Source organism: Homo sapiens, chromosome 6 (assembly GCF_000001405.40).
Source record: "Homo sapiens chromosome 6, GRCh38.p14 Primary Assembly".
Classification (NCBI taxonomy): domain Eukaryota; kingdom Metazoa; phylum Chordata; class Mammalia; order Primates; family Hominidae; genus Homo; species Homo sapiens.
The window spans coordinates 39,241,813-39,252,940 of NC_000006.12; positions in this window are offsets into that span (position 1 = coordinate 39,241,813).

Genomic DNA, 11,128 nt, shown 5'->3' on the forward strand with positions numbered 1-11,128 from the left:
GTTGCCCAGTATTGTGGAGTTTTTTAAAAATTGATTTTAGAGATTCAATAAAATGCTTGTCAAGTCTGTGTTTAGGATAAAGTCCTAAATTTGTACTATGGCTTCCAAATCCAACCCCTGCCATCTTTGTGGCCACATCTCCAGCCCTCCCCTCAGTACCCCCACCGCCTCTGCTCCCGCCCCACAGCTCTTCATGCCAGGGCCACATTATGACCTTCTTGGACCTCAGGCACTTTTGCCTTCACAGGTCCCTTTCTCTATAAATTATAGTTTATAATGTATAAACTATAATTATAGTTTATAAGTGTGTTACTATAAAGACGAGTACATCATTATTATATATTAAAGCATTTTCTTTTATTTAAAAGTTCATTCTTTTCCTTGTGAAATTCAAAGATTTTCATGGGCTCCTTTTGTTACGGTAGGCCCGGACATGTATCTGCTGTCTCCCCAGACACTCTCCCATCTACCCCCTTCAGCTTAGTAAGCTCCACTCCCCCATGCAGAAGCCTTCCCTGACTTCCCCAAGGGCCCTGACCCCAGCATATGCCCTCCTGACCCTTCCTCCCTTGTGCTTCATGAGAAATATCACAGGTAAGAATCACATATTAATGTGGGTGATTATTTGCTTGACATCTGTCTTCTCCACTGAGTTGTCCGTCTCTGCACCCCCAGCATTTAGCCCAGGCCTGGCATAATTTGCTGACTGTAGTTAGCAACAAGGTGTTGTATGCTAGAAAATTGCAAAGAGAGTAGATTGAAGTGTTCTCACCACAAATAAATGACAAGCATATGAAGTAATGCCTATGTTAATTAGCTTGACTTAGCCATTCCACTATATACATTTTTCAAAGCATCATGTTGTATGCCATAAATATGTACAATTATATTTGTCGGTTAAAAATAAAAAAAGCAAGCCAGGTGCGGTTGCTCACACCTGTAATCCCAGCACTTTGGGAGGCCAAGGCAGGTGGATCACCTGAGGTCAGGAGTTCGAGACCAGCCTGCCCAACATGGTGAAACCCCGTCTCTACTAAAAATACAAAAATTAGCCAGGCATGGTGGCAGGCACCTGTAATCCCAGCTACTTGGGAGGCTGAGAGCAGGAGAATTGCTTGAACCCAGGAGGTGGAGGTTACAGTGAGCCGAGATCGCGCCACTGCACTCCAGCCTGAGCGACAGAGCACGACTCCATTTCAAAAAATGAAAAATAAGTAAAAACCAAACACTGCAGAGAAGCATTCTTTCTAGACAGGTACTAAAAGAAAGACCCTACTGACTATAAGTTCTTTGAAGCATGGTCTATGTCTAGCTTGCTCTCCGTAGTATCCCATCAACATCGTTGACACAATGTTGACTGACTGAATGGTGATCCTGGGGGCCTGGAGATGGAGGCTGGGGACAGCAGGGAGAGCTGGAAGGAGATTGCTGCCTTGCCCTGGTGACAGACAGAGGAAGGCACTTCATAGTCAGCATGAGGTGAGGAGTTAGGGTCCTTTTAGGGGTAGGATTACCAGGCCTCAGAGAGAAAGAATTCGTCTTATCTGGACAACCGGGCAGATTGCAAAGTAAGGAATAAGGCAAGGAGAGGAGAGTGGGCAGCAAAGATAATGAGCTCATCTAGGGCTTTTTCAGTGTGTGGTGTTCTTAGCACACCTGGGTGAAGAAGCCTAAAGGGCAGTGTGGACGAGGGGTCAGGAATTCAGGAATCTAAAAGGGCGGATTTGGGTGTCTCAGCACCCGGATGGTGGTTGTCCTCTCCCAAGTGGATCAAATTGCCCTGCTTCTGCTCCCAGGCTGGAAAACCAAGATGATAGCAGCTATGGCTCTCTTCAGAGCTCTTAGAGAGAAAGAGGAAACTTCACTGAGACAAGGATGTGACCTGATCCCAGAGGTGAGACAGAAACTGGAGAGAACTGGACTAACCCTCTAAACCGGGGACTGGAACTGAAAGAGCCATCAGTTACATGTACTGAATCACAGTCCAAGCTGAAGTTTAAGAAAACAAGCACACAGGAACACATACAGAGGCAGACTGAGCCAGAATCAGACTGTTCTGTTTAGTTAGAAGCACTGGTTTGGACCTACTGGATCCACCTTCAGCCCATGCCTAGACTGGAACCACTTCTCATTCCGGGTGCGTCCTTGCTCCGAAATGGGCCTATGAGTCACTGGGAAAGAGGATTCGATTAACAAAGATTCAGTCAGACTACAGCTGTGGCCAAAAACAGGGTGCGCCTGCCAGGACCTTCCCCTTAGGCAGCCGGGTGGCCATGCACCCGGTTCATTCCTGCTGCCTGCCGCTGTGTCCCCAAGCTCGCCATCAGGGGCATGACTTTGGGTGGAGCCATGGCAGCCTCCAAGCTTCTCATTTCCAAATACAAATGTCCCCTTCATAGCAGCACATTCCAGTGGCTAAGAACTTGTTGCAATTTTGTTTTTCTTTCTTTTAAAATTTACTTTAATTTATTTGAATGTCCCAGTCTGCTGCCCAGGCTGGAGTACAGTAACACGATCATAGCTGACTGCAGCCTCAAACTCCTGGGCTCTGGCGATTCCTTGCCTCAGCTTCCCTAGTAGCTGGGAATACAAATGTGAGCCACCATGCCTTGCTTCAATATTTAATATTATATTCAATATTTAATATTACATTTACGATATTGTACAACCATCACCACTATTTCCAAAACAGCCTCCGGCATAGCTGAGACCACAGGCATGTGCCACCACACCTGGCTGCAAATTTGTTCTTTATTCCCTTTTTATCTTGTGGGTTAACTAGAATCAGGACCCCGAGAGAAAGGGGTTTTAATGAGGGAAGGGAAGGACAAATGGAGTTGTGTAATTTGGTCTGATACAGGGCTTGGGGTATATCTCGAAGGCTGTAGGTATAGGGTGGAGTGAGGAGGGGTACACCATGGGAGGGGTCTACATAAAATGAGCTGTCCTGTCCCAGCTGTGTGGAGAACAGACACGAAAAGGAGTCCAGGTGGGGCTGATTCTTCAAGAAACTGACATCTGGCTGGATGCAGTGGCTCATGCCTGTAATCCCAGCACTTTGGGAGGCCGAGGCGGGCGGATCACCTGAGGTGAGAAGTTCAAGACCAGCCTGGCCAACACGGTGAAACCCCGTCTCTACTAAAAATACAAAAATTAGCCAGGCGTGGTGGTGCACACCTGTAATCCCAGCTACTCGGGAGGCTGAGGCAGGAGAATCCCTTGAACCCGGAGGTGGAGGTTGCAGTGAGCCCAGGTCGTACTAATGCACCCGCCTGAGTGACAGAGCAAGGCTTCACTCAAAATAAATAAATAAATAAATAAATAAACAAACAAAAATTTAAAAAATGAGAAGCACACATCCCCTCACATCCTGTGTGCCTCCAGGGATTGTTCTCAGGGTTGATATATATTCCATGGTTTTTCCCCAACTGTATAGAAGATTTCTTCTAGGCAGGGCCTTTCTTTTTTTCTTTCTTTGTCCTTTTTTAATGACGGAGTCTCACTCTGTTGCCCAGGCTGGAGTGCAGTGGCATGATCTCAACTCACTCCAACCTTCGCCTCCCAGATTCAAGCAATTCTTCTGCCTCAGCCTCCCGAATAGGTGGGATTACAGGCGTGCACCACCATGCCTGGCTAATTCTTGTACTTATAGTAGAGACAGGGTTTCACCATATTGGCCAGGGTGGTCTCGAACTCCTGACCTCAAGTGATCTGCCCGCCTCGGCCTCCCAAAGTGCTGGGAGGATTACAGGTATGAGCCACTGTGCCCAGCCAGGGTCTTTCTTTATACTTCTGTATCCTTCAGATTGGCAACACACTGGACACATACTCTGTGCTTAAATAAGACACGCCGATTGGTGGCTGAGGGAGGAAAGCCTAGCTAGAAGTTAAGCATTCAACAGGCATACCAGTCAATTTCAACAGTCTTTAGTAACAACCACAGCATCTGCAAACAACAAAGAGCTCCACAAAACAGCTATAGTCTCTACAAATGACTTGAGACTCTGCAAACACCTGCTAGTTCTGCAAACAGGTGCGTATTTTATAACAATTACAATTTTAAAGTGTAATTTAAAAATTTTTATTTACTTTTTTTTTTTTTGAGATGGAGTCTAGCTTTGTAGCCAGACTGGAGTGCAGTGGTGCGATCTTGGCTCACTGCAACCTCTGCCTCTGGGGTTCAAGCAATTCTCCTGCCTCAGCCTCCAGAGTGGCTGGGACTACAGTTGCACACCACCATGCCCAGTTATTTTTGTATTTTTAGTAGAGACAGGGTTTCACCATGTTGGCCAGGATGGTCTCGATCTCTTGACCTTGTGATCCGCCTGTCTCGGCTTCCCAAAGTGCTGGGATTACAGGCGTGAGCCACGTGCCCGGCCTTAAAATTTTTTTTTAAATTACAAACTAGAGGCTGTGAAAATCGGGATATGCTCTGCAAATAGCTGCAGGATCTGTGAACAGCTGAAGGCTTGCAAAAAGTGACAAGATCTGGCCGGGCACAGTGGCTCACACCTGTTATCCCAGCACTTTGGGAGGCTGAGACCGGCGGATCATTTGAGGCCAGGAGTTCGAGACCAGCCTGGCCAACATGGTGAAACCCCATCTCTGCTGAAACACAAAAATTAGCCAGCCATGTGGGTGCACGCCTGTAGTCCCAGCTACTTGGGAGGATGAAGTGGGGTGATTGCTTGAGCCCAGGAGGTGGAGGTTGCAGTGAGCCAAGATGGCACCACTGCACTCCAGCCTGGGTGACAGAGTGAGACTCCATCTTAAAATAAATAAATAAATAAATAAATAAATAAATAAATAAATAAATAAATCTGTACTCACCTGCAGCCTGCAAGCAACTGCAGATTCCACAAATAGCCATAGGCTCTGCAAAAAGATGGACAATTAAATAAAATACTATAACTACAAGCCCAAACCTTAGAACACTATTAGAGCTTTTCAAAACTGATTGGCGTCTACTCTTTCCACAAGAAATAATATCTTAGGATAAACATGGGAAGGGATGGAGAAACCCCAGTAAATTTGATATATACAAGAGGTTAGGGGCTCTGGTTGGGTTGGAAAGTGTTGAGTTAATTCAACAATCATTGATGGAACCTTTTTTTTTTTCTTTTTTTGAGACGGAGTCTTGTGCTGTTGCCCAGGCTGGAGTACAGTGGCACGATCTCGGCTCACTGCAAGCTCCGCCTCCCAGGTTCACGCCATTCTCCTGCCTCAGCCTCCCGAGTAGCTGGGACTACAGGCGCCCGCCACCACGCCGGGCTAATTTTTGTATTTTTAGTAGAGACAGGGTTTCACTGTGTCAGCCAGGATGGTCTTGATCTCCTGACCTCGTGATCTGCCCACCTCGGCCTCCCAAAGTGCTGGGATTATAGGCGTGAGCCACTGTGCCCGGTGATGGAACCATTTTATGTGCTAAAAATTTGTGCCAGGCACAATGGAAATGTGGAGAACCATGTTCTCGTTGCTCACGGCAATTCAAACAGTCCCTGGGCCCCTGCTGATGGGATTGGGAATACCTGCATGCAGCTCAGATTTCTTTCTTTCTGTGTCATGATTACTATGTACTTGGTTCATGCTGCTGGTTATCGATGGGAGCAATAAAAACCTATCATAATCTACCTGAATACTGCAAATAAAGATGATTGACAACTCCGCTGAAGGTTGCTGGCATCAGGGCTGGGACAGTCTTCTCTGTGAGGACAGATGCACTCTAGGGCAAAGAATGGACCAGGACTGGGGGCAGGACTCCATGCCTGGCACTGCCCCAGAACACGATCCCCACATGCTGTTGTATGTCTTTGAGGGCCCAAGAAGCATGAGAATGATGCTGAAACATTTGCTCAGTCAAAGCAGGCTTCTGGCAAGAAGAGATGAGCACTGAACATATCCACCAGCTGAGGGCTGGGGAGAAAGATGGCTGTTGAGATGAGAGGAAGGAGTGATTCTGGGGGAATGTTGAAGCCAATGCAGACATTCTCTGGCCATGTGGCCTTGGGAAGATAATTTAGCTTTCTGAGTTTCAGTTTCATTTTCTATGGATAATGGGCATAATAAAAGTGCCTACCTCATAGGATGGTTGTGAGGATTAAATGAGTTCATATAAGTAATGTGCTCAGAGCAGTGATGGCATGCAGTTAGCTCTGTCTCCTCTAGTTAGTTAGAGGACAATGATGACGGTGGTGGTGACGATGCTGATGCTGATGATGGTAATAGAGATTATGTCACTTTCCTAGAACTGCCCTAACAAAGTTCCACAAACTGGATGGCTTAAACAACAGAAATTTATTGTCTCGGCCAGGCGTGGTGGCTCACGCCTGTAATCCCATCACTTTGGGAGGCCAAGGCAGGCAGATTACCTGAGGTCAGGAGTTTGAGACCAGCCTGGCCAACATGGCAAAACCCTGTCTCTACTAAAAATGCAAGAATTAGCCAGGTGTGGTGCGGGTGACTGTAATCCCAGCTACTTGGGAGGCTGAGGCAGGAGAATCGTTTGAACCTGGGAGGAGGAGGTTGCAGTGAGCTGAGATTGCACTACTGCACTCCAGCCTGGGCAACAAAGCAAGACTTTGTCTCCAAAAAAAGAAAAAAAAATTATTGTCTCACAGTTCTGGAGGCTAGACATCCGAGATCAAGTTGTCAGAAGGGTTGATTTCTTCTGATGATTATGAGGAAGAATCTGTTTGATGCCTCTCTCCCTGCTTCTGGTAATTTGCTGGCAATCTTTGGCTTGTAGACTGCTATGGTTTGAATGTTCCCTCCAAAACTCATATTGAAACTTAATCCCCAATGTGGCAGTGTTGAGTGGTGAGGCCTTTAAGAGGTGATTGGGTCATGAAGGCTCTGTCCTCATAATTTGTGGATTAATGGATTAAGGGGCTAATGGGTTATTATGGGAGGGGACTGGTGGCTTTATAAGAAGAGGAAGAGAGACCTGTCAACTTAAAAATGACAAATCTATAAATGTAGAAAGAAGAGCTCTCAATCTTTTTTTTTTTTCCTGAGACAGAATCTCCCTCTGTCGCCCAGGCTGGAGTGCAGTGGCGTGATCTTGGCTCACTGCAACCTCCACCTCCCAGGTTCAAGCAATTCTCTTGCCTCAGCCTCCCAAGTAGCTGGGACTGCAGGCGTGCGCCACGACACCCAGCTATTTTTTATATCTTTAGTAGAGACGAGTTTTGCCATGTTGGCCAGGCTGGTCTCGAACTCCTGACTTCAAGTGAGGATGGTAATAGAGATTATGTCACTTTCCTAGAACTGCCCTAACAAAGTTCCACAAACTGGATGGCTTAAACAACAGAAATTTATTGTCTCGGCCAGGTGCGGTGGCTCACGCCTGTAATCCCATCACTTTGGGAGGCCAAGGCAGGCAGATTACCTGAGGTCAGGAGTTTGAGACCAGCCTGGCCAACATGGCGAAACCCTGTCTCTACTAAAAATGCAAGAATTAGCCAGGTGTGGTGGCTTGGTCTCTCAAAGTGCTGGGATTACAGGCATAAGCCTGGCCAGAAGAGCTCTCAATCTTATAAAGGGTTATGGTTTGCAAGGTGGCCATTCTGACAGGCTGAGAAGTGCAGCCTCTGGCAGAGTACATTAGCAGGCACTTGGAGGTTGTGGAGGGTGGGACAGGGATTTCTACTGAATGGGTTGGCCAAGTATACATATTCAACAGGTTGTAGGAGGAGCTATAAATATTCATGAAAGGTGGATGCACACATGAACAAATATGCATATTACATGTATCTTATGTTCGCTTTTGGGTGGAGGCTTAACATTTAAATATATTACAATTAGGCCCTATATGTCAAAAGGTGAAGCAGGAACACAAAGACAATTCAAGTGTGCAGCCTCTGTAAACCAGGCAGAACCAGTCCATGGTTGGTGGTCTTACCTGGAGAGTTACTGAAATCAGTCTCTTGTCCGATCAAAAGTGTAGTTATGGCTGGTGGAACAGGAGGCCAGTTAGTGTCTGGCAGTAGATGGTCTGCAAGAGGCCAGTTAGTTGGTGTCTGGCAGTAGATGGTCGGCAATTGTTTCAGTGTTGCTTATCTCCAGGCCAGGGCTTGTTTAGCTGCTAGAGAAAAAGGAAAACCTTGTGGCAGCTAGAACACAGTTTATTATTTAAGTATAGGGGTTGTGACTTAATTCATACCAGGCATGGCCTTAGGTCCTGTTCATACTCTGGTATCTTATTGCTATAGAGTCCATTCCATCAGGCTTACGATCTCTGTTTTGACATTAATGCTGGTCAGTTGTGTCTAAACCACAAAAGAGAGGGGGTATAACAGGGCATATCTGACCTCCTGTTCTATCATGACTGGGAACTCAGTTTTTAAGGTTTCTCTGGGGTCCTCTTGGCCAAGGGTGTCAGCTTAGTTGGTTGGGAGGCTTAGGACTTTATTTTTAGTTCTCAGACCTGAGCCAGAAGGTCAGCATGCTCAGCAATCTTGCCATGCAATGACCTGCACTGCCTCAGGATCCCGCAGAGAGTCCCCTCTAGCAAGAAGGATATCACCAGTGCAGCCCCTCAACCTTAGACTTTTCAGCCTCCATAACTGTAAGAAATACATTCCTTTTCTTTATAAATTCCCCAGTTTCAAGTATTCTGTTATAAGCAACAGAAAGCCGACTAAGACACAGACCCATCACCTTGATCTCTGCCTTCATGATCATATGGCATTCTCCCTGTATGTGTCTCTCTTTGTGTCCAAATTTCCCTTGTTTTATGAGGACAGAAGTCATACTGAATTAGGGCCCACTCTCATGACCTCATCTTCACTTGATTCTGCAAAGACCCTATTTCCAAATACAGGTCACATTCTGAGGTACTGGGAGTTGGGACTTAAACATCTTTTGGAGGGACACAATTCAACCAATAATAGTGATGATGATGGTGGTGATGGTGATGATGATGTTGATGCTGGTGATATTGGAGGAGAGGGAGAAGAAAGACACTATTTGAGATAGAATTTCATACTTTACTTTGAATCCTCTTATTTCCAAGGTGGAAGACCCTCAGGGACCTTCTACCTGGAATGCTCCCAGTAGCACTATCATTTTTCAGTTTGTTACCCCTCCTTTCCCTCCTCCAAGTTGAGCTTCAATGTTACATCCTCAGAGAGGCCATCTATGACCACCCCATCTAAAGTGGCTTCCTACATTCTTCTGTCTACAGCCCCTACACAGTCCTCTTCATAACCACAATACACATCAATTTGTTGGTTTACAGGTGTGATATCTGTCCTTTCCATTAGACTCTGCCATGAAGGTAAGGATCTTGTCTGTTTTGCTCACCAAAGTGTATCCAGCCATTAGCACTGTGGGTGGCATAGGGTAGAGGCTTAATACATATCTGTTAAATTAATGAATGAGAGAATTAACAAGAAAACAAATGAGACTACAAGTGCCTTGTGAGTAGGCAATACTCATGTCTTTCCTTTTTCTTGCCTCTGTCTGCCTGAAAGCGGGCTCCTCCACCCTGCCATGACTGGGTGACTTTGGGCTTGTGGTTCCCTATTCTCTGTTTTGAGCCCCCGCTCCAAATCTAAGACAGAGGTTCACATGGTGTGGGAAGATCAGCCAGGAAGGCAGGAAGAAGTTGTTTCAGCCAGGAGTGCTGTATCGATATTCCCAAGGCTTGGAGCAAGCAAAGCATGAGGCTATGTTTTTTTATACGTCTCTGTATAAACAGACAGCAGGGGAGCACTCAACTGTGACAGACGATAAGACATAATGTGTCATAAGTCAGCTTTCATCCCAGCTGAGCCCGTGTTTAGTATTTTCTCAGGTGCGGCTCTTCCCTTGCCCCAGCATAGATTACATCATCACCTGTTGCCCTGGGGGAGAAGGGGTTAATCTGGAGGATGGAAAATAAATAAGCACACAGTCCATGGCAACACTGCCACTCCCACACTCAGAACACCCTCTCGGAGCAATGACCCCGTGCTACAAAACGTATTACAACAATCTCCTCTTTACCTTCTATGCAGTTTGCAAAGCATTTGGGTACACTGCTTTATTATTTTCCTAATAATTTATTTTGAAATCTTTTAAAATTTACAGAAACATTGCCAGAACAGTACAAAGAATTCCCTTATCCCCCTCACCCTGTTTCTTGAACATTTCATCACATCTGCTTCATCATCCTCTCTTTTATATACACCAAGTCATCTTTTTCTTTTTCTTTGCAATTTATTGATGGTGTTATTTTCTTTTTTTATTTCTTCTAAAAAGAACAAAAAACAAAAACAGGATATATGTGCAGAATGTGCAAGTTTGTTACATAGGTATTGACCCATCCTCTAAGTTCCCTCCCCTCACCTACCACCCCCCAGCAGGGACTGGTGTGTGTCATTCCCCTCTCTGTGTCCATGTATTCTCAATATTCAACTGCCACTTATGAGTGAGAACATGCGGTGTTTGGTTTTCTGTTCCTGTATTAGTTTGCTGAGGATGATGGTTCCTGTGTCAGTTTGCTGATCAGATGGTTGTAGATGTGTGGTGTTATTTCTGAGGTCTCTGTTCTGCTCTATTGGTCTATGTGTCTGTTTTGGTACAAGTGCCATGCTGTTTTGGTTATTGTAGACTTGTAGTACAGTTTGAAGTTAGGTAGCGTGATGCCTCCAGCTTAGTTCTTTTTGCTTAGGATTGTCTTGGCTATATGGGATCTTCTTTGATTCCATATGAAATTTAAAATAGTTTTTTTCTGGTTCTGTGAAGAATGCCAATGGTAGTTTGATGGGAATAGCACTGAATCTATAAATTACTTTGGGCAGTATGGCCATTTTCACGATATTGATTCTTCCTATCCATGAGGATGGAATGTTTTCCCGTTTGTTTGTGTCCTCTCTTATTTCCTTGAGCAGTAGTTTGTAGTTCTCCTTGAAAAGGTCCTGCACATTACTTGCTAGCTGCATTCCTAGGTATTTTATTCTCTTTGTAGAGATTGCAAATGGGAGTTCATTCATGATTTAGCTCTCTGTTTGCCTATTGTTGGTGTAAAGGAATGCTTGTGATTTTTGCACATTGATTTTGTATCCTGAGACTTTGCCGAAGTTGCTTATCAGTTCAAGAAGTTTTGGGGCTGAGATGATGGGTTTTTCTAAATATAAAATCTTGT